The 25,033-nt window shown below is 40.7% G+C and overlaps 1 protein-coding gene and 1 long non-coding RNA gene across 10 annotated transcripts in view, besides 1 other annotated feature; both read right to left on the reverse strand.

The window, feature by feature from the left end:
• TNIK (TRAF2 and NCK interacting kinase) overlaps window positions 1–25,033 on the reverse strand; it is a 401,995-nt gene that overhangs the window by 375,212 nt on the left and 1,750 nt on the right. The gene's annotated exons all lie outside the window — the stretch shown is intronic.
• Window positions 6,201–6,300: an enhancer, noted in NCBI's record as "active region_20815". NCBI's record gives its function as "activates an Ori minimal core promoter by ATAC-STARR-seq in GM12878 lymphoblastoid cells {active_cell/tissue: GM12878}" and the evidence as "EXISTENCE:reporter gene assay evidence [ECO:0000049][PMID:35858748]".
• Window positions 7,565–24,546, reverse strand: LOC124906303 (uncharacterized). The gene is made up of 2 exons (XR_007096168.1): window positions 24,321–24,546; window positions 7,565–16,915 (listed from the first exon to the last, which is right to left on the reverse strand). It is a non-coding gene; the product is annotated as an uncharacterized LOC124906303 (long non-coding RNA).

A 25,033-nucleotide genomic window follows, 5' to 3' on the forward strand; every position in this document is an offset into this window, starting at 1 on the left:
AATTATAACAGCAGATTAAAAAGCTATTCTTATCTGATATTTCCAAATAAAATTTAAAATAATTTTTTCAGATCCTAAAACAAATTCCTGCTTGATATTTTTATTGAAATTCCATATTAATATGGGAATAATATTACTAAATTTTCCTATTCAGAAACATGAGATATTTTTGCATTAATTCAGGCCTTTAGTATGTCCCTTGTTAGGTTTTAATTTTTTCTTCATATAAGTCCTGCAGATTTCTTATTACATTAATTTCTAGATATTTTACACTTATTATTATTAAGAATATCTGTTTTCTTTTCTTTTTCCTTTTTTTTTTTTTTTTTTTTTTTTTTGAGACAGAGTCTCACTCTGACACCCAGGCTGGAGTGCAGAAGCATGAGCTCAGCTCGCTACAACCACCACCTCCTGGGTTCAAGTGATTCTTGTACCTCAGCCTCCCTAGTAGCTGGGATTATAGGTGCCCAGCTAATTATTTTGTATTTTTAGTAGAGGCAGGGTTTTGCCATATTGGCCAGACTGGTCTCGAACTCCTGACCTCAGGCGATCTGCCTGCCTTGGCCTCCCAAAGTGCTGGGATTACAGGTGTGAGCCACCATGCCTGGCCAAGGGTATCTTTTTTCAAATATATTTTGTAATTGATTGTTTTTCTTGGCTCACAAAAATACTATTGATTTGGGTATATTTATTTTGTATCCAGCCACATTGCTGAATTGTTATTGTTCTAATATATCTTTAGTTGATTCTCTAAGTTTTTGAGGTATCATCTGTAAATGATGACAAGGTTGTCCCTGTCATCTTGTAACTCTTTTTTACTTATTTATTTATTTATTTATTTATTTTTTTTGAGACAAAGTCTTGCTCTGTTGCCCAGGCTGGAATACAGTGGTACCAGCATAGCTCACTGCAGCCTCAAACTCCTGGGCTCAAGCAATCTTCCTACCTCAGCCTCCTGAGAAGCTAAGACTACAGGTGCATACCACTATATCTGGTTAATTTTTTAAAATTGTTTTTAGAGACAGGGTCTTTCTATGTTGCCCAGGCTGGTCTTGAACTCCTGGCCTCAAGCCATCCTCCCACCTTGGCCTCCCAAAACACTGGAATTACAGACATGAGCCACTGTGCCTGGCCCTCATCCTCTTATAATTCTTGTTTCTTTTATGTCTTGCCTTTATTCAATGGCTAACATTTCCATTACATTATATATTATTATTGGTTATTATCTGATTCCTGACACCTTGATATCATCCCTCACTTTAAAAAGAACATGCATTAATTAGGATGTTTGCAACTGCAAGTAAAAAAAAACACACAACTGAGAGTGGCTTAAACAATGTGGAAATTGTATTATCTATATAATATGAAGACTGGAGTCAGGCCAGTTCCAGGGTTGATTAATTCAGATGCTCAATAATGTAGGGACCTGATACGTTTATTCTGTGATTCTCCTGGCTTTCCCCTCATGGTTGTCAGATGGCTGGAGCAAACCTAAGTATCACAGTCTTTAGATAATATCCAAGTCCAGGATAGGGAAGATATCTTTTTACATATTTACTTGTAAAAGAAAGGAAAGCCTTCCCAGGAACCCCCAGTGAGGCTTCCTCTGGCCTTCTTATTGGACAGGTTGTGTTGCATGACTTGCTTAAGCCAATCATCAACAAAAAGAATGGAATCCCAATGACTGGCTTAATCTATTCTACCTCCCCCATGCTGGGGAAGTGGAGGTCAACTTCCTCTGAGAATGTGGAAAGGTAAACACCAAAACACATCCAGAGCTCTGTGAGAAAGAAAAAGGATGGGGATGACTGCCGGGTAGGGAACCAACAGTGTGCACCACAGAGAGTCTCTGGTGTTTAAAGGATAGGTACAGGGATGACTATTGGTTTTAGACATATTATCAAGTTAAGAAAGAATGTCCTTAATCCTAGTCTATTAAAAATAGTTTTTGCTTTGTTTTTTAATCAAAAATAACTGCTAAGTTGTACCCCATACCTTTTTGACATCCATTGAAATGATCCCATAATTAATGTCCTTTGGTCTACTAATATGTTGTATTAATAGACTTCCTAAGACAGAAATAAGGGGGCTTACATAGCATTTTCTGTGTTTTCAGTTCCATACTGTTAATTAGCAATTTTTAGGGTTTTTCATACAAAGCAAGAAACACACATTATTGCTTATTAATAAATAATACTTCACATATAAAAAGTTTCCAGATCCTAAGCCAGAAAAATTGAAGAGGGAGAAATGAATCAGAGGGTGACAGGCAAGAAAGACAGACAGAACAACTCAGACATGAAGTGATATGGCTTGTTCTGGAGTGGGGGCAGTAGGGCAGGAAAGCATGGAAGGAACACAAAGCTTACTTCTAAGACACAACACATGCAGACTTAATCTATATCAATATTTTACATCAATGGCATTCTCATCATAGCATTGGGAATCACTGAGAATTGCTTTAAGTTATTTCAGCTCCATGAAACTCCCACTCCTGACCTTCCCTCCATCTGGTCCACTTCCCTCCATCTTCCCCACTCCTATACAGCTAGCCATCTACCCTGGTGCTCTGACAATACTCTTTATCTATTTTTACATCTGTTTTTACCACTACACTTTGAACTTCTTGGAGGCAGAACCTAATACCTTGTAAACCTACATATACCCAGTTGCTTGCACTGCACCAGATTCAGAGTAGGCTCTCAAATTGTTTGCAAGAGTGATGCTGATGTTGAATGTATTGAACATTTATTGTGTATTTGCAACATGGCAGGCACTGTCATAAATACTTAACATAAAATATGTCTTTTTAATTCCAGCAATAGTCCTATGTGTACTGTTATTGTTACCTCCATTTCATAGGTGTAGAAAAGTGTAGGGATTTTACATAACTTGTCACAAGCTGCAAAGCTAGTAAGCTATAGCACCAAGATTCAAATCCAGAGAGTCCAACCCCTGATGTAATCGTAAGTCATTTTCCTTCCTGTGACTTTGAAAACAAATGAGATAAGCCAGAAGCTCACAAATGAGCCCAAATTATTTCATGGTCACCTTTTATACACGTTACTCTCTGAGGTGCCAAAAACGTTCTGGCTAAATGCTCTGCCAAGGTGTCATCTGGGGAATCCTAACCAGACACTAGAGGCTATCATCATTCATTTACATGCCTTGATTTTCAAAAGACTGAGAACAGGTTGAAGATTTGAACATTGCAGCACAAATCTGCATCAAACAGACAGTGTATCTACCTTTCATCCCCATCCCCAGCCTCACACAGAGCCAGTGCATTTGCCCCCTTGGATCATTTGGCGAGGCTGTCAAGAACCTTAACACCCCTCAAAAAGAATGAAATCAAGCACAGCGGCATCTGTGCCAGTTCCTCTCTTTTTTTATTACTGCCCCCAAAGCCTATAAAAGCTTGGAATCTATTAATTCTTTCTTTATAGCTGGAATGTCTACTCATTATTATCTGAGAAAGGAAGAGTCAATTTAATACATTTGATTTCAAAGATTCTATCCAGTGAAGTCATAGTTCATTGCAGTCATATCAGCTGATTACTGTAAAGTGCAACAGTCTGCATTTGTAAAGGAAAAAAGCACCCAAGCTTAGTAGGAGGTACACAGTAGAGAACGTGGGAGACATCGGGATAGCATTTGCTGCTGAACTGCATTTTGCAGACCTGACCACCCCTTCCACTTTGCTCTGTTCCAGGAATGCCATTTAACTGTCATGGGCCTTATCCCCCTATAGCTGTAGGATAACCACAAGAGCCAGTGAGCACTCACTAAAGCTAATCAATATTTAGAAGCTAAAAATGAAACGAAGAAACACACAAATGCAAGCATAGGCAGGGGAGGCTTTTACCCTGTGCCTCCAAGACCTATGTCTAAGCTAATACATGCAACTGCTTCTGGGATTTATGGCTGCATTTATTCAAACCCTGTAGCCTCTGAAGAACAGCTCATCCTCTCCTTCCATATTAGATTGGACCAGCCAGAGGCAGGCCCTTCTCTGCCAACAGTCAGGGAGGTGAGAGTAAATCTGCCACCATGTAGATTCCATCATTCTCAACTCCTATCAGGTAACTGAAATCCACCTATAATCTGTCACCCATGCCAAGGCCATGTTTGAACTTCATTTGATGCCCTGTGTTAGAAAGAATCTTTCTTGCTCACATGCTTCTTAAAAGCAGAATTAGATGGCTCCAGATGACTTAAACAAAAATCTGAGGGCCTACAATGTGCCACTAATGACAGGTGCTGAGGAAATCCGGGGAGTTGATAACCAGCTAATCAGCTAGCTAGCTATCCACGCCATGAGGCGGCAAAATGTCTTTTCCCATACTTTCCTGTTAGCCACTGGGGAAGCTGCCCCACAGACAGTGCTTTTTAGAGTGCATAGAGCAGACATGGGAATATAACTGCTGCACCTGCACAGTGACTTGTCGCCAATAAAAATTCACCTGTGTCTCATTTATTGAGCCTGTACTTATAAAGAGGTTTATAGTCTGTTGTCTTAATGAACCACTTTAAAGTCTAAAGGGGAGATAGAAGAGCAATGAGTAGAGGCCATTTCACCATCTCAGGGCCCTCTCAGTTTCTTCCCCTTGCATAGCACCTAGGAGGTTTCTAACAATGCAAGCATTAAGACCCACAGCTGCCTAGGACACAGGTCTTTCCATTTCCCAGGGGTCCTGCACTTTGTTAAGGTTTGGTTTCCCAGAATCACAATCCCTCCTCTTAAAGGCTAAAAACACATGAAATTGTATTTTCACAACTGCATAGCAAGTCGCCTGTCCACTCAGTTATAGTGGGGATGCAGGATCCAAACACGATGACTCCCAGAAGACACGTCCTGGTGAATTACGTGTTAGGCACACTGCAGAATGCAAATGTAAACAAGTCACTTGAGAAAGTGTCTTAAGTTCCTGCCCTTAAGAAGCTTATAATTTAAATACACCAATGGCTTGTGGACAAATCATTCTGAAGCAAAACAGAGATGCAGGTGATAAAAAGTGTGAACAGAGCAAGGCAGAAAAACAAAAGTAAGGATTAACATTAACCAGGGGACCTAGATGATGAACCAAACCTCCCTGATATGTTTTTCATAAGAAAGTGTCTTAGTAACAGGGGTTTTGTGGCTCGATCAGGTTAACAAAAGGAAGAGTGTGTGGGTTTCCAGCCCTGTCCAACCACCACTTGTGGTGGGATCAGAATTTGGACTCCACGCTCCAGGTTCAACCCCAGCCTCATTCCAACCCTGTCAAGCACATTTCTAATCAAAGTTTCAGAGTCCTATGTCCCTCCAAAATCAGAAGTACAGTTCCCCAGAGAGCAGACAGTAGTTCTACCATTAGAAAAGCATTCCCACTATTTATTTAGAAAATGGGAAGCAGCAATAGCACAATGCTTACATTTCATGTTTTAAAATCGGACTAGCCAGGCACAGTGGCTCACGCCTGTAATCCCAGCACTTTGGGAGGCCGAGGCAGGCGGATCACAAGGTCAGGAGATCGAAACCATCCTGGCTAACATGGTGAAACCCTGTCTCTACTAAAAATTCAAAAAATTAGCTGGGCATGGTGGTGGATGCCTATAGTCCCAGCTACTTGGGAGGCTGAGGCAGGAGAATGGCATGAACCCGGGAGGCGGAGCTTGCAGTGAGCTGAGATGGTGCCACTGCACTCCAGCCTGGGTGACAGAGCAAGACTCTGTCTCAAAAAAAAAAAAAGAAAAAGAAAAAAAATTGGACCAAACTAGGTTCAAAAACTGGCTCCATCATTTTCAATAAATCACTTAACCTAAGCCTCACTTTCCACATCTATAAAATTAGAATAGTATATATCACAAGATGTGGCTGCATTAATAAGACTAGACTTTTATTAAAATAATTAACCCAGTGCTTGACACGTGGCCAGTGGTCACAAAGTATATTAGCTATAAATATTGGTATTAAATTTTGTTCTTTCTCATCTCCCACTGCTTCAATCGACTAGCCTAAATGCATGTGTATTACTATTATTATTATATAAATTACACTCCAGATCAGTGTCAGGTACATCCACATGTTGGTGTGACCTGAGACTCTATCCTAGCCACATTTCAGTATAGTTCTTGGAACTGCAAAGCTTAGGACCAAATCCTGGACCACAAATTCCTCGCTGAAAGTCTTGCCCTAACCAAGGCCAGCATGTGCCACTGGCCTGTGCCACCCACCCACCTGGCCCTCACTCAACACCTAGCACACACAGCCCTCAGAAGCTCAGCATGTGCTCAGTTTCCACTGGTTTCATGAACATTCTACTCTTGTCTCCCAGCTGCTCCGAGGGAAGGGCCATACTCTCCCCATTACTCAACCTCACTGTGGCACATGGTAGAAGCCTGCACAGTTTTCCTGTACATAATATGACAGTGTCCATGATTTTTCTCTCCCTCTGTTTTTATGATAGCCAAGACCATGCTAGGCTGGGCGAATGACCACAATGATTACTGGAGCTGAGCCTCCACCCAGTTCTGCAGACTCTTAAGCCCTCTTCCTTTCTCCACATTTCCTAGAGGGTATTCTCAAGGCCATGGTGGCTACTGCAGTTTCCAGCAACTCATTCCTCCTTGATTACTGCCCCTTTCCTTCCCTCGCCATCATAGTAATGGTGAGTAACAGTAACAGTAAACATAGGAACATTTTTCTACTCTATTCTAATTTTTTTTCAAAATCTGATTGCAACCCATTAAACTCACTCCACAACCCATTACAATTTGAAAAACACCTGGTATCTGTGATTCCAGGAAGATGACATGCTAAAAGGAGCTCTGATCATTTGAGAAAAGGAATTCCCCAACTTTGTGGGAACAAAAGAGCTGAGCTCTAGGGGTAACAGTGGAGGAAATAAAGTGTATGGAGGTGGAATGGGGTGGTAGTTACTGATACTGTAGAAAAATAGGGAATGGTTAGATCATAGAAGGTCTTGCTAAGTTAAGGAGTTTAGCCTATGCTGTAAGTCACGAGCAGGCATTCATTTCATTAATAAATGGATACAAGGATACACAAAACATAGCTTGCCTTTGTGGAGCTTATAGTCTCTTCTGCAGGAAGAGGGTGTGGAGGGAGACAACCAAATAATTTGTTAACAAATGAACAAATGGCACATTATGATAGGGGCTTGGGAAGAGTTTCAGGCAGCAGGAACAGTGTGCATAACAGCATAGAGGTGAGAAAAGCATGGAACATTAAGAAAACAGAAAGAGTTAGTAAGGAATGGTTTTAGACAGGAATAGCTCTCCCAGTCCTGGCCCCAAAGTCCTTTCTCTACAGGAGGAATAAGTTATTTGAGCTACCTTATCTTGAAGGAAATGATTATCGTTATGTTTGTAAAATATGACAAGCGCTTCAGAATAAAGAATGACACGAAAATACGTAGAAAGCAGAAGATAGGATCAGAGAACCCATCTATCTCTCCAGGTGTTGAAGAGATGGCCTTCCTAGAAATATCACAGAGACCTGACTAGGAAATTTGCCTTCACGGTGTGTGGAGCTGGTCAACTATGAAGCAGTGTCTCAGGCATATTATACTTTAACACCTTTATTGAGGTACTTACATACCATAAAATTCACTCAGGTTACCACCATCCAATATTGAAGCATTTTCATCACCCAAAAAGATCCCTCCGGCCCATTTACAGGCACTCCCTGTTTTCCTCTCCACCCTAGCCAACCAGTAATCTACTTTCTACCTCCGTAGATTTGCATTTTCTAGACATTTCATATATACAGAATCATACAATATGCAATCATTGTGTCTGGCTTCTTTCACTTAGCATAACATTTTGAGGTTCATGCATGCTGCAGCCTGATTCAGTACTTCCTTCATTTTTATTGCCTAATAGTATTCTATTGTATGAAAACACTACACTTTGTTTACCTATCCATCAGTTGATAGACATTTGGGTGGTTTCCATTTTTGGGCCACTGTGAATGATGCTCCTCATGAACACTCCTGTACAAGTTTCTGTGTGGACCTATGTTTTCATTTCTCTTGGGTACATACGCAGAAGTGGACTTGCTAGGTCGTGTAGTAAGTTTAACTTTTTCAGAAATAGCCAAACTGTTTTTCAAAGTGGCTGAGTTATTTCATAGACCCACCGGCAATGTATGAGAGTTCCAGTTTCTGCATATTCTTAGGTATATTTTTAAATTCAGATTTACATGTATTGTGGAGGAAGCATCCCCTGGATAAAGGTTTGACTTTATCAAGTCTGTGAAGTGCAGAGTTCACATGATCTCACAACTTATGCACATTCCAAGTTTCACTTAAATGTACTTAAAAAATTTTGAGAGCTGTCCATTTGAAAACATGGTTGAAATAATTCAGTATAAAAATGCGATACTAAACAACCAAGTAAATATAATGATCATAGAAATTTTAACCAGAATATTTGTCAAAGGGGAGTTATTAAGGAACCATGCAACTCAAATAAAAATGTTCCTTGCAAACTAAACAAAATCTCCACAGGGACAAAATCCTGATTGTGAATCCTGCAAACCAGCAGCAACTTATAGAAGGCAGCAGCCACACGGAGGAAACAGGAAAGAAGGACAGGGGATTATTTTTTTAAATCTGATGCAACTTGCATTGTATCAAGTGATGAGATACAAGAGACCTTGCTTCCAGAAAAGAAAAGAAACAGACCTGGCCTCAAAGGGACAGAGAACTTAATAGTCACAGGAATGTCCCTGCTGCTTTGAATACCCCCAGGTACTCTTTGCAAACATACACACTAATTAAAGGGGGTTGGGGGACTGAACTGGCAAGAGCTTTGGTTCAGAGATCACAGAGGGACACCCAGCCTTCAAACCCCTTCAACAGACTCTTTCAATCTAGAAAGCAAACCCTGTATCTGGGGCTCGGATCTCTGTATCTCTCTAAGATTTATTTTAAGTATCATACATATTTCACTGAATGTCTACGATTTCCTCTCTTCATAGAGAGGCTTCCTCCTGAAGAAGGACCCTTTTTGTTTCCAGTGATGAGGACCTATAATAATTATCCACTGGCACTTTTTCTGGTGCAATCAGTGAAATGGAGGTTTAGGTACCCAGCTGGTCAGGTTCCAGCAGATTTCCCATGCTAATTTTCAGTCACTCAAAGAAAACAAAGGAAAAACTAAGATTGGTTTACCATGATTTTAAAGAAATACTGTTCCTCTTCCCTTTCCCCCTCCCCCAAAATGTGTAAACTTCTATATTTCACACTTTTACATCTGTTCTTCTCCCAAAATAAAAGCTGTTTATATTCAAGAAATGATGGCTACAATACCAGCACAAGTTACATCTTTAAAATACTCCCAGAGAGAATATACATATTGTTCAGACAACAGAGTGTCTGTGCAATGTTCTTTCCCTGAATAGCATCTGGGTATTGGCTCTAGAAAGCACTACAGCGCTTTATTTGTTTATTTGTTTGCATGGAAAGAAAACTGAGTACTCTCTAACTGGTGCTGGAGCTACCAATTTAAAGAAGACAGAAGAAGCAGAGGCCTTTTAGGAAGAGCAAATGCTTAGTTTTGACTCTGTCAACCATTCCAGAGTAAGACACCAGCAACAGAACCACCTGGTTCCACTGCTACCCAGAGTATCCATGCTCTGAAAGTCTTGGAGCTCAATTGAAAAATCGCAGCACTCCCAAACTCAAAGGGCCCTTTCAACCACGCCAATTGCAACATATATTATCTCAAGCGTTGGAGGAATCAGATAAACAGGCTGTGAAAAAGCCATTTCAAATTTGTAGCTTTCTTAGACAGAGTCTATGATTTCACCACCACTAGAAAGGAAACTGCTCCAAACTTAGTTCCAGACGGAAGTTTTCAAATGATGTCATTCATTGTCCCATCTAGAGCAGTTAGTATTCCCGATTTAAAGGCTTGAACAGGGCCCAGCACACTGGCTCCTACCTGTAATCCCAGCACTTTTGGGAGGCTGAGCCCAAGAGTTTGAGACCACGCTGGGCAACATAGGGAGACCCCCCATCTCTACAAAAAAAAAAAATTTCAAAAAATTAGCTGGGTGTGGTAGCACACACCTGTAGTCCCAGCTCAAGAGGCTGAAGTGGGAGGATCACTTGTACCCAGAAGTTTGAGGCTACAGTGAGCCATGATTGAGCCACTGCACTCCAGCCTGGGCAACAGAGCAAGACCCTGCCTCAAAAAATAAAATAAAAATAAAATGCTTGAACAATTCCCTGATACTTTAATGATATTAACACCTCTTCTGAGAAAACTGGAGCTATCCCTCTAAGTGTCAATACTGGGAAAAACCTAATAATCTTTAACCAGGTATTTTTTATATCTAGTCTGATGATGATTGTCTAACCATCGGTTTTTCCTTCAAAATAGTTCTTCTATGAGGGGAGGTCTTCAAATTTACATTTTTAAAAGCATTTTCCCCAGCAATGAGTATAAAATTTTCATGCACGCTCACTATCAGTTGTATATAAAGTTGCTTTAACAACCATACTTGCCATCAACTTTTCCTCCATATAAACAGACATGCAATATAAGCAATGTGCTTATCTAAGAACTGTGGATTAAATAGCAACATGGGACACTTTTGTGGCTAGGTAAGAGATGCTTACAAGTTGTTGTTACAAAGAAAGTCTGTGGGATTTCCCAGTAAGGAAATCTTCAACCTGCTGTCTAGATTCCAAATATACATTCCATTTCCCAGGTCTCAAAAAATAAATAACTCGAAGATTTTAGGCTTCTAACAGAAGTAGGGCTGAAAGAATTTGTGAATATGGATTCTTTCTTTCAGTTTCCAAGCAAATGTCAGCACCTCCTGGGGCTTCAAACTCAATCCCTACAGGCCTATAGGGAAAAACAGGAAATCGACATCAGAAGGATGCATCTTGTTGATCAAGGGAGTGGGGCTTTTCTGCACCTTGAATAAACTTGCTAAAAAAAAAAAAAAAAAGAAAAAGACATGTCAATGCAAAGAACAATGCAAAGTACAGAATTATCAATTGAAAGTTGTAGACTTTTCAATTTCAAGTATCTTTGAGTCTTACAAACAATTCAAATGCAAATATTAGTAAAAAAATTTTAACTTCCATACTCCTAAGAATGTGTACTGTCCACAATTTCTCTGAGGTCATATGCCTTATGAAAAAGTTGCACTTACCATAAATAATTTACTATTTCCTATTCTGCAACATTTTCAGGCATACCCAAATTTCCATGAATATATTTTGCTTTTCTTTTTTATTTTATTTTATTTTATTGAGATATGGTCTCGCCATGTTGCCCAGGCTGATTTCACACTCCTGGGCTCAAGTGAAGCTTCCACCTTGGCCTCCCAAAGTGCTGGGATTACAGGCATGAGCCACCATGCCCAGCCAAGGAAACTATCTTTTAAACATTTAGGCCAGTGGTTCTCAGACTCCCACATGCTTCTGAATTACTAGGAGGGCTTCTTAACGCAAAAGTTGCTGGTCCCCATCCTAAGAGTTTCTGATTCAATAGTTGAGCGAGCCCAGGCATGGTGGCTCACGCCTGTAATCCTAGCACTTTGAGAGGCTGAGGCAGGCAGATCCCTTGAGCTTAGGAATCCGAGATCACGTAGGAAAGCCCTTCTCTATAAAAAATACAAAAATCAGTCAGGTATGGTGGCACATGCCTGTAGTACTTGCTACCCCAGGAGCTGAGATGAGAGAATCACCTGAGAACCGGAGGTCGAAGCTGCAGTGAGCTGAGATCGCACCACTGGACTCCAGCCTGGGTGACAGAGTGAGACCCTGTCTCCAAAAAAAAAAAAAAAAAGTTGAGAGAGGCAGGGCCTAACAGAGGATCCTGAAGCTGCTGGTCCAAGGATCCCACTTTGAGAACTGCTGACTTAGGGAGTTAAACTGTCAACTAGCTTTTAGAAAATCACAACATGCAGGATAACATTTACTGAGAATCTACCAACTGCAGAACTCTCTACTACCTACTGAGTAAGCCGCACAGGTCCTTGCTCCAAACACCATCTAAATTGGCAACACAGGGTATACGTGCGAGGGGACAATACACAGACACATATCCAAAACAGCAAGAAGTAGTTAATACAGTCAAACTAAAGATGTTTCATTTCTCCAGTGCATTTCTTTATGATGTATCCTACGGTGCAGTTAAATCTATTACTCTCAGATGGACATTACTAAACCACAATGCGTAGCCATTCTTCCTTGCACTATGCCACTTCATTTCACTTACTAATGGCAGTTTCATCTGAAGCCAGGGCATGAAATGTAGAGAGGGACCTCATTTTAAAGCTTATTTATGTTATTCGTGTTGTAGCAACTGTAAGGATCAGTGTGATGATCAACACTCAGATTTCAGTGATAAGTTATCAAGCAGAGTCATCGAGTGCAGATATGATCTAATTCTGCCATCAGGCTGAACTGAAATGCACAAAAACAGTCCAACAGAATCTGAACTCTAACTTTCCCATCATTGTATAGGTTTTTAAAGCATAGCTAGCACCAACTTTCAAATGCATACTTTTCTCATGACCCTGTCCTGAGTTTAAGTGCATTTGTATCCAGATTATAATCAGAGAGGGTATTTAATTAGATAATGTTTGCAAGTACTTTGAAGATATAAAGTGCTCTATAAATGCTAAATATTATTATTATTGTTTAAATACAGTTTGCAATTACTGCTTACAACCTGTTCCACCCACCACACTGCTATCATTTGATTACAGGCAGCTTTAAAAAAAATACCTAGAGGTAGAAATGATGAAACCATATTCATGTGAAGCCCTGGATTTTTACCCTAGACATAAATAATTTATAGGCATTTTAAATGGAGGATTAGGTTATAAACTGTAGTAAATCAAGAAAATTGCCCTCTGCAAGACCAACTACCATAAAGTTGTGTCAATTTTAATAGTTTCTTACTTATAAACCAGGTTGAAAGTAGATTATAGTCCAGAATACGGAGCTTTTTACTCTGGTGGTTTCCTGTTCTATCTTCTATTTTCTCCATTAGAATCTTAAAATATCTACCTATGTGAAAAACTGAAAGCACAACTTAAGATTTTGATTTTAGCAATTGTCTGGCAGATTAAGGCTTGAGAATAGTCTCTATTCTATCATGGCCGTAGCTCACCTTGCTATCTTCTATGATCATCACAGAGTCAGCTGTCTCCAATTCTTAAAAAACTGAAACCTTTGAGCCTGATTCCACACATCCTCCAAACACACTTGCTGGATAATTTTCCAGAAAGAATGACAGTTTAAATGTAAACAAGCCAAGCTCAGTGGCTCACGCCGGTAATCCCAGCACTTTGGGAAGCTGAGGCGGGCGGATCACCTGAGGTCAGGGGTTTGAGACCAGCCTGGCCAACACAGTTAAACCTTATCTCTACTAAAAATACAAAAATTAGTTGGGCGTGGTGGCGAGCGCCTGTAATCCCAGCTACTCAGGAGGCTGAGGCGGGAGAATCGCCTGAACCCAGGAGGCAGAGGTTGCAGTGAGCAGAGATCGCCCCACTGCACTCCAGCCTGGGTAACAGAGCTAGACTCCATCTCAAACAAACAAATAAATAAATAAATAAACAAACAAACATCCCCTAGATACACTCCACAAGAATGTCACTGTTAATCCCCAAATAGCTACCATATTAGGTTTTTAAGGTTTTAGGCAAGAAAAAAAAAAAAACACGTTATAATCTGACATTGGTCATCTTACAAAACAAAGTTACAAGGAAGAAATACCTTGGAAATAGCTCTTAAAACACCACTATGCTCATGAAAGACAACTTGTGCCCTAAACCAAAGGCTTCTGGGAAGTCTGTGAGCCTCAGGGTGATAATACAACAGATAATTCTGATGTCATGACAAGGTCCATAAATCAAATGATGGCTATGTGAGTCACTATTGGCAGTGGCTTTGGGCCAGTCAGTCGTAAGCTCAGCCACTTAGTAGCTCTACGATCTTTGGTAAACTAATTGATTTTTCAGAGTCTTATGTGTTCATTTATAAATGCTACACACCTACAGCACAAGAAATTGGAAGCCAATCTGGCAATATCTAGAGCCTTAGAGATCATTCATACACTTTCATTCTAAATTCAATTTCTAAGGAGTTATCCTAAGGAAACAGAGATGCACACAAAGACTTATATATAAGGATGTTTATTGAAGCACTATTTATCAGTTGGAAAGTTAGAAATAACCTCAAGCTTCATCAACAGGAACTGGTTAAATATATTATGATCCATCTCCACAACAAAATGCTAAGCAGTCTAAAAACATGATTAGAAAGTTGAGCACTGACTGAATATTTTATTACACGTTAAATTTTTTAGGCATGATAATACTATTATGGTTATGTATTTTTTAAGTACACAAACTACTGAAATATTTATAAATGAAATAATATGCTACTTTAAAATAATATGGGGGAGAAGGTGGGTAGGAGTACAGATGAAACAGGATTCATTATGGGGGATAATTGTTCAGTAGAGAGATTATTAACCCTTTTATCTACTTTTTAATAAGAGTTTTATTGAGCTTTAATTCACATTCCATAAGACTTACTCTTTTGAAGTGTACAAGTGACTTTTAGTATGTTTCACAGAGTTGTACAAACATCTGCACTATCTAATTTGGGACGTTAGCAGTCACTCCCTGCCAGCAAGCATTAGTCTACCTTCTATCTCTATGGATTTGCTTATTCCAGACATTTTATATAAATGGAATCATACAACCATGTGTCTTCTCGTGTTTGGCTTTTTTCACATAGCATAATGTTCATCCATGTTGCAGTGTGTATCAGCACTTCCTTTTATTGTAGAATAAATATTCCATTGTAAGGATATACTATGCTACATTTTGTTTATTCATTCATTGGTTGATGGACACTTGGGTTGTCTCCTATTTGAGGTTACTATAAATATTCATGTACACTTTTTTTTTTTTTTTTTTGCATGAATACGTCCTTAGTTCTCTTGGGCATATACTTAGGAGTGAAATTCCTGGGTCACATGGTAACTCTGTATTTAGCATTTTGAGAAACTGTCAAACTGTTTTCCAAAATGGCTGTACCATTTTACATTCCTATCAGTAATATAGGAGCATTCCAATATTCTGTCTACTTATTATTATTATACTTTGAGTTCCGGGATACATGTACAGAACGTGCAGGTTTGTTACATAGGTATACATGTGCCATGGTGGTTTGCTGCACCCATCAACCCATCATATACATTAGGTATTTCTCCTAATGCTATCCCTCCCCTAGCCCCCCATTTACTGACAAGCCCCGGTGTGTGTTATTCCCCTCCCTGTGTACATATGTTCTCATTGTTCAACTCCCACTTATGAGTAAGAACATACAGTGTTTGGTTTTCTGTTCTTGTGTTAGTTTGCTGAGAATGATGGTTTCCAGCTTCACCCATGTCCCTGCAAAGGACATGAACTCATCCTTTTTTATGGCTGTGTAGCATTCCATGGTGTATATGTGCCACATTTTCTTTATCCAGTCTATCATTGATGGGCATTTGGGTTGGTTCCAAGTCTTTGCTATTGTGAACAGTGCCATAATAAACATACATGTGCATGTGCCTTTACAGTAGAATGAATTATAATCCTTTGGGTATATACCCAGTAATGGGATTGTTGGGTCAAATGGTATTTCTGGTTCTAGATCTTTGAGGAATCGCCACACCGTCTTCCACAATGGTTGAACTAATTTACACTCCCAACAGTGTAAAAGCGTTCCTATTTCTCCATGTCCTCCCCAGCATCTGTTGTTTCCTGTAATCTGTCTACCTTTTAAGTTTAAATTCCCCATGAAAAAGAGTTTTAAAAGTTATGCCATAGAAAAAGATTAATAGCATGAGAAAAGGCTAATTATTAGGTTTAAAAAATAGGTTACATATAATATGTACAATATTATCTCCACTTTAAAAAAAATCTATTTATCCATGCATAGGAAAAAACTACTAAGCCATACACCAAAGTGCATATGTGGTTATCATTAGGAATCATAAGTTTAAATAATTTGAGAATTCTTTTTATTTTTTCTCCATTTTCCAAATTTTCTGCACTGACCATGCAGAAACCATTGCAATGACCATTGCTTTTACAATGAGAACCAGAAAAGCCTTTTAAAAATTAAACAAAATTTTTGGGAGGCCAAGGAGGGTGGATCACCTGAGGTCACAAGTTCGAGACCAGCCTGGCCAACATGGTGAAACCCCGTCTCTACTATAAGTATAAAAATTAGCCAGGTGTAGTGGTGGGCACCTGTAATCCCAGCTACTTGGGAGGCTGAGGCAAGAGAATTGCTTGAACCCAGGAGACGGAGGTTGCAGTCAGCCAACACGGTGCCACTGCACTCCAGCCTGGGTGATGAAGTGAGACTCCGTCTCAAACATAAAAAAAAAATTAAACAAATTTTTAACAACTCAGCAGGCTTAGTCTGCTTTCTTTCACAGTCTGCATTTTTTGGGCCCTGGAGCCCCAGGAGTCTTCGTAGCTTCCCACTCAGGTTAAGATACAGCACATATTTCCAGCTTCTACAGGTGGCCTCTTTGCACATAGAATCGTAACCTTTATTTTCAACATCTGAAGCATTGCTACTTATCTATATTGATTAACTTAGCTGAGTTCTCCTCTACCATCTAATTAGATTTGGTTTCTTCACAGTGGAGCACAGGCTATCTTCAGTGTGTTCCGTACATACAAGCAACTTTATAACCATCTTTGTATCCATACTTTGTTAGACTGGTTTTTGTGTTGTGGGAATGACTGATTCACTAAGATGTCCAGGATGTTGGCAATCCAGTTGAGGGACGTGGTATAACGGGACCCAGCACTGCATTCGAATTTCATCCTTGGACAAGACAAGTAACTTCTCTGACCCCAAATTTCTACCTACAAAAGAGGTAAATTGGATCACCAATCACCAAGCCCTAGGCAGACAGATAGATAAGTAGATATATAGACAAAGATATGCAAACACAATCCCCCTTTACTTTTCATTTTAGCCTTAACATGGTTTTATGGCTTTATCCTATTTATGCCTTTTATCAGAAGGTGCCACAACTTACTTTTTGGAGGTATGAGGTGTAATAAATAAATAAGATCCCTTTTAAATGAATGAATTAATTGCATTCACACAATTGATATTTATTCAATCAACATTTATCATGTGCCAGACACAGTTCAAAGCACCAGGAATGTGGTGCTGAACATGCAGGCAAGATCCCTATTCTCACAAAACTTATTAGGCTCCAGTTGGGACAGCCAGATTTTTAAAAAATTCAGATAGTCACGACTGCCTTAAAGATAATAAAGCACTGAATTGGACAGTTTCAGGGTGGAAGGGAGTGTTACTTTACAGATATATTGCAAAGAAAGCCTCTCTGTTTAGTAGGGAGCCTCTAAGAGGGCCCTCAGTGACTTCTGCCTTCTGGTGTTAGTTAATATTCTTGTGTAGTCCCCTTCGAAATGAATAGGGCTGACTTGGGTAGCCAACAGGGTATTGCAGAAATGATGGTGTGTGATTTCCAAGGCTAGGTCATAAAAGACATAGTGGCTTCTGCTCTGCTTTCTTGATTCCTCTATCTGGTAAAAGTGGGCACGATGTTATGAGGATGCTCAAGCAACCAATGGAGCCACCTACGTGGGGAGGAACTGAGGCCTCCTGCCAACATCCAGCACCACATAAGTAAATCATCTTGGAAAGAGATCCTCCAGCTCCAGTCAAGCCTTCAGAAGATAGCTCACCTTGCCAAAATCTTCCTGCAACCTCAGGAGATACCTCATGCTAAAACCACCCAGGTAAGCCACTTCTGAATTCCTGGCCCACAGAAACTGTGAGATATAATAAATGGTTATTGTTGTTTAGGCCACTAAGCTTGAGGGTAGTCTGCTATGCAGATACATAAGTAATAATACAGGCAGCATCTCACCTTAGACCTAAATAATAAGATGGAGCCCTCCATGTGAAATTTCTGACACGGAGAACTACAAGAATGAGCTTGGCATATTCACAAAACAGAAAAAAATCAGTGTGGCTAGAGTGTAGTAAAAGACAAGTGCAGGCTCTCTTCTCCATCCAACCATGGGTGTAGAAACCATGCCAATGTTGTCTTCAGCTCAGCCCCAGCAACTAGTAGCACCCAATAATCAGGTACTGAATGAATATATACACAAACAAATAAATGAATGAATGCTGGATACCATGTGCATTTCTTCCCCTACAGTTAATCACATTTCACAGAATCACAGAATACTGGGCCTGAATTTACCCTGCACCCAAACTTGCACCTTCTAATACACTAATCAAACAAATGTTTGTAACATATGCAATGTATTGTTAAAGTCTACAAATTTCCTACTTGATGCATACTGCCAAGGTTCTAATTTCACTAACTAGAGAGACAGCACTTTAAAATCTAGGGTTACTTCAGAGTCTAAATCCGGGTATCCAGCAGCAACACTGTAAGGGAGTACCCAGCGGAAGTCACAGTCAGCCCTTCGTCCTATCACTCGGTCTTCAAAAACTAGAACAACACTTTAAATTATAAATCAGAATCTGACAGCTGGAAAAAAATAGCTCATTTAAAAATTAGAAAGGGATGTTACGTTCAGTGGCAATTCCCAGCTCATTGAGGTGCACAGTTTGCAATCTCTTGGTATCTCCAACAGATAGAATAAGAATCCATGGCTATTTAAATGCCCTCAGTCCTGCCTCTAGTTCCCTTACATATTCCAGGAATATGCATCCCAGCAATACAAATTGCTGGAAGTCACCTCCAGCAATTTCTAGTCCAAACCACTCATCTTACATGTGACAAAACTGAAGCTTAGAGGGCAAGGTGTCAGAGCCAGCTTTATGACGCTGGGCTCTAACTCCCAGCTGTGTGCCTCATTAAACCTCACCATCTCCCAAACTCTCTCTACCCGCTCACTGCCAGCTCTGTCAAGATAAAAACTCAACGTTGTCTTCCAGTGGGCCACCCCAGAAGCACACCCTTTCCCGCCCATCTATTACTGTTTAATCAAAACAGCAGTCATAAGTATTATCCGATTGTTGAAATAATTGAAACACACTCCAAACACACACACACACACACACACACACACACACACACACACACATACGCCTTGCAATTCTAACCCATGGTATTTTAAATCTCTCAAAACTTAGAATAAGACAATGGAGAGAACACTTTCCTTGGCAGAAAAATTCTAGAAATAGGAATACCTACCCAGGACCAGGCATAGTATTTCTCGTAATTGGTGCCCCCGGAATTGTACTCTATGTAATTAGCATCCACTGGAATTGTACTCTACATAAAAAGTGTCCCCAGGAGTCATGCAACCTAGACTATAATGTAATTCATGATCCCTGAAATTGTGCCATGGTCAGCAACAGGCCCCACCTTTCTGAGGTTTCTATACTCTCTCTACATAGCACCACCTCCAGCCCTTCTAAAAGGGTTGCACAGTATATATTTTGTTAATTCAAAATTTATTTGTTGAACGAACGCCTGCTGTGTAAAGAAAACTGGTGAGGATCCCTAAGAAAATCAAACGTTGCCTCTAAAAAGGAATTGTCTAGTAGTGAATATAATCCAAGACAGAAAGTTCTGAGTGTTATGAAAGAGGTGTGAGGTCAGTTCTGAGACAGTCTATGAGTGGGAGGGACAACTTGAGAGAAATCAGAGACTTCTGTGGAAAAGGTGGTCTGCGAATGTTCAGCGTTGGGGCAGTAGGTACAGAAAGGAGACTAAGACAGAGCGCCCCCTACAGAGCATCCATGGGGGAATGAAATTGTTCCCTGCCGCAATGGGGGAGTGGTCGTCAAAACTGCAGAGCTCGGTGGGAGGCCCCTCTGAATTGCCGCTGGTCTTAACATGCTAAAGAGTTTAGTTTTCAGTCTGTAGACTAAGGAGACAGAGAAGGCCTTGAATAAAAACAACCAGATTGAAACTGTGCGTTTGGAAGACTCACGTGGCTACAGTGTACGAGAAACCAGTCAGAAGAAGGCTGGTGGTAGAGACACAGGAGGAGGGGAGGTCCTGTTGCGGGTGTTGCCCAGGGGACAGTAACTACAGCACTTGCAGGGAACAGTGGAGACAAGGGGACCCATATGATAAACATTAAGGGAAGAATTTTAAGTTGGGGTGATATAAAATGTGTTTTGAGAAACTGAGGGCACCCCCATGAGACAACCAGGACATGTAAAAAAGAGTGGATAGAATCATGTTTCTCTAAAGGGAAATAAGCTTCCAACCAGACTGGAAGGAATCACAAGCGGAATTCATCCAACATTTTCTACTTAAGTCCTCCCTCTCTCTCCACTAGAGACCTTATATTTATATGTGCAGAATAACATTTCATTCAAAAAATATCATTAAGATTTTCTTAGAATTCTCAGCACACTGCTAACAAACCAGTTTAGGCCCTGTTCTCAGAGAGCTACTTCCCCCACAGAAATGTAAGAATCAATTTGACATTAAAGCATCTTTCAGACTCAAGTTACTCCAGATTCTATCAGGAAGGGAATCAGAGACTGGTTGTGCTCAGCTGGGCATGGCGGCCATGATTCAATCACAGGAGCGCCTGGCTGGGTGGACTTTAGAACCACTATCACTGAGAGAAGGAATGGCGTCGAAACAAGAAGGGCACGGAAGATTAATTCCAGGGCAGAGACACAGAAAGAAGAAAGGCCGAACGGGCAAGACTCGAAATTATAAGATATCAAAGAGTTTTACAGATAAGGGGGAAAAAAGGAATATTTCCTGAAAGAAATGTACTGGGTACTCTCTCATCAACAAAATATTACATGACCTCCTAAGTAGATAATTATGCAAACAGCAAACCATGACTTACACTGGCTTTTGTACTAAAGATTACTCCAGTTAATAATGAATAATGAAAATGATTATGCATATTTCTCTGATGTTCTGATAAATACCAGCACACCCTACTTTTTATGAGGCAATGCCATTGTAAAGAAAACACCTGTTTAGTATCTCTGAAAAATAAAAAGAATATCTAATGAAAAAATTGCCATGCTGTTATCATTTTGAGATACTGTTATCAACTCATGCAACTTTACTAAAATCTCATTTTAGACCAAATTTAATTAAGTGCTCTGGAGTAATGAACTAATAATGTTTCGAGATTTCTTTGAGCCCCATGAGACCTCTCACCAGAAAGTTTTAAATACTGGGCCATTAGTGTATCATTTTATGTGTCCACTCTATCTCCCAAGGGAAAAGATAAAACTTTAGGAAGGCACAGTCATGATCAATGTGTTTGTATTTGAATAATCGGTAATACATAAAGAGAGAAAACTTTTTTTAAAAAAGAAGGTTTTAATGAACAATGCTGATAGTTGATACTAGTTTAGAAATATGTTAATCTCCAAAAAACTTCAGGGCTGCACTTACCTCATATGTAATGAATGCTTAATACTGGGGGCGCAAAGCTCAATTCAGGCCATCAAAGAAACATACAAGGTCACATTGGTACACAAAAGGAAAAAGGCAGCTAAGGTCTGTGGAGGTACTGTTAAAAAGAGTCGGAACCTTCTGATATCTTTTTCTGAAGATTATTTTCCTTCTTTTCTTAGTCTTCTTTTTTTTTTCTTAAACAAGATGTCACTCTGTCACTGAGGCTGGAGTGCCGTGACACAATCACAGCCTCGACTTCTCAGGCTCAAACTATCTTCCCACCTCAGTCTCCCAATTAGCTGGGACCACAGGCACACACCACCACACTGACTTTTTTTTTTTTTTTTTAGAGATGGAGTCTCCCTACATTGCCCATGATGATCTGAAACTCCTGGTTTCAAGCAGTCCTCCCACTTCGGCCTCCCGAAGTGCTGGGATTACAGGTGTGAGCCACTGTGCCCAGGAAAGATAATTTTCTATTAGATAAAATCATTGCAATCAAATGTTGATGGTATCAATTTTCCCACTAAATTCTACTTAACCATGGGATAGCATATTTGTACAGTGCTGTATGGTTTTTAAAGCATTGCCTTAAATACTTTATTGATTTTGAAACCAGTATGTGAGAAAGGCAAACAGTTGTGATGATTCTTATTAACTATGGTTAAATGTCCTACCCAAAGTCACAGAGTGAATAAGAGGTGGACATAGAACTGGGGAGACAGGGTTCATTCCACTCCATTCATTCAAGCATTCATTCACGTACTCATTCATCCAACTAATGGAGACTATGGCTCCAAAGATGAACAAGATCTAGCCTCTGCCCTCAAGAAGTCCACGGTTTAGTAAAGAAGCAGAAAGGAAATCACACACCAAGTAAAACATGAGCATGAAAAGTGTAGCAAAGGGATGTATGCAAGGCTTTCAGATGAGGTCAATTCTTAAATCTGGGTTTCAATGGAGAAAGGAATGGCTAGGGAATGAGGGCTAAGGGGAAAGACAAGTGTAGATCATCTAATTTTGTTCAAATACAAAAGTGTATGTGAGTCCTGGCAGAAGCTGAGAGTATGAGGTCAGCAGCAGCCAACTCCTGGCCTTGAATGCCTTACCCTGTGGGCCAAGTTAAGGACAGCCAAGGTGCTTAGGTCCAGAAATATGCTAATCTCCAAAAAGCTTTCTGGGCTGAGCTCGCCTCATATGTAATAAAGCACACTGGTGGCAACTTTCATCTCTTTTAATACTGAGATGTCTTGAAGCAAGAATGACTCAAGCCCCAGGTTTGAATGAGTAAATTGTTTGCTGTAGCCTATGTATGTATACACACATTTTCATACACCCACGTGGATACGGTTTATATCCATAATACTACACATAATATATGTATCCACATAGATAATACAAAACATACACACAACTCTATAAACCTCACATGCAGAGCCATCTGAATAACATGTATGTTTATACTGACCCCTTGAGACATGCTCTGATGGACACAGGTTACTCAGAGAGGTTACCTGTGCAGGACAACCATGTGTCCTAGGTGATTTCAGACAGTCGTTTGCCTGCAGAGTAGGCATTGAACCAGGGCTGGACAAGATGAATTCCAAAGGTGGCCTAGAGCTCCATGGTTTCATGTATCACAAGCTTACTTGCATGAAGTAGTTTCGCCATTCTCAATAAATAAAATTCCCTGACCCTGGTGAAATTATTCCTTTCTGCTATTCTTTTGTACTCAGGCAGAAAATGTATTATTGATTTCTGATTCCACCACAGAAAGTGTGACTTAGAGAAAAGAGCACTGAATGAGGAGTCAGGAAATCTAGATTATTTCCTCAAACCACGCTCCTCGCTGTCCCCTCCCCTTGTTACTGTGTGACCTTGAACAACTTACTTCACGCCTCTGGGCTTCAGTTTCCCAAGTGTTCAATGAAAGGAGTGGCTGAGTGTTCTACAATTCTCTTTCCAGCTCTGAATCTATAAAACAATTCCAGCCCATCCCTCAAGATTTAGTTTATCTCTGAGCTCTAAAAATCAGGGCTAAAACTGGATTCAAAGTACCTATTTTCTAACCAAAGAAGATCCTGCTTCACTCACTTTTAAACCATGCAAATCTTGCATAATTTAAATGATCAGTGCTGTCATTGGTTGCTCTGGTTTAAATTATGCATTGTTGCTATTTGGGGAAAATTTAGACTGGGTCCGGTCTGGAATCACTGGCTGAGAACAATAAGCCCCCAAAGTGAGAAGGATAAAGGCCTCTCTAGACAGGATCTGCTTTTAATGCTTTGAGCCCAGGGTTTACAAAAAGAGCATTGACTGTGTACATTAAAGAGCCACCGAAACAGCGAGGGACTGGTAAGTCTGCAGCAAATTCTCCCAGAAGCCACTGACCTTGGCTGCATTTCAGGGGTCAGGCATTCCCCAGGAGGGGCTCAGCAGGCAGACTTTACCAAGGGCTTAGGAACAAATGAGACATCTCATCTAGATGAGGCCACCTCTCCAAATGTGGCAAGGTGGAGATGATCTGCCCTCTGATTTGTGGAGATTACCTATGTGGCCTTTGGACCCACTCCAGCAGACACACCTCACCCACAAGACTGGTCAAAGACCCTGGCCCTCCAGGATATAACTGTCTCCACATCTGCATCTAAGTCTTCTAGCCAGCAGTTCCTGGTCCCCAAGCTAGCTGTTGCCCTCTCTGTTTCCACACCTCCCAGCAGGCAGAAAAACAGAAGCAGAGCCCTAAGCTGATAGCCCAGGCCACAAAGAGCAATTTCAGTGAATTGTGCAAAGATATATTTTCAAAATACAGATCACAAGAAAGCACATCCCAAGTGTGAACCGCAGTCGTCCGCCCAGTGGGCCCTCACCGGTTGCTCCCCTGCCTGCAGGCTCCGTGCTTGGTATCTCAGAAAACCTTCCCGAGGAAAAAGCCCATAAGGGACAAGTCCCGGCCCAACTTAAAATCACATCAGACTGCTTTCCAGTAGAGGAGCAAGGTCGAGATTCCGGCCCAGGGAAATCACCGCAAGCCCTGCGCATTGTTCAGACCCCTTCCCCCTTTGCCACTTCCCGCCCCCCACCCCGACCTCCGACCGATTCGCAGCACCCCACCCCCAGTCGGGGCCATCCATCCACCTGATTAACTCGCCGGCAGCAACTCCCAGCGTAGAAAGTAGGGCAAATGAACACACACAGTCGGTAAAGCAGGAAGCCACAGACCTGGCCAATGCACCCACCCTGTTACCAACCCCACCCCGCTGCGCAGGGGGCAGCCGGTTCTTGATGTGGCATTTCCACTCCAGGGAAATAGACAGCTTCCTGTAATAATGCATGAATGAGCTTTGGCTGCCCAACTATCAGAACAGCCCATTTCAAACGGCATCTCTGTTTCTTCTCAACTCCTTACTTGCCTTGCTGAAACCTCATCTCTTAGCCCAACAGATTAAGACGAAGAGAGAAAGACTTATTCAAAGAGATGTGGAGGAAAAGGTTTAATTAAGGAGACCAAAGAGAAAGTACCACTTTGATCACAAAGGTAGCACTTTAATATATCAGTGCAGATAGCGGCAATGTCAGAAGT

Source organism: Homo sapiens, chromosome 3, assembly GCF_000001405.40.
Source record: "Homo sapiens chromosome 3, GRCh38.p14 Primary Assembly".
NCBI lineage: Eukaryota > Metazoa > Chordata > Mammalia > Primates > Hominidae > Homo > Homo sapiens.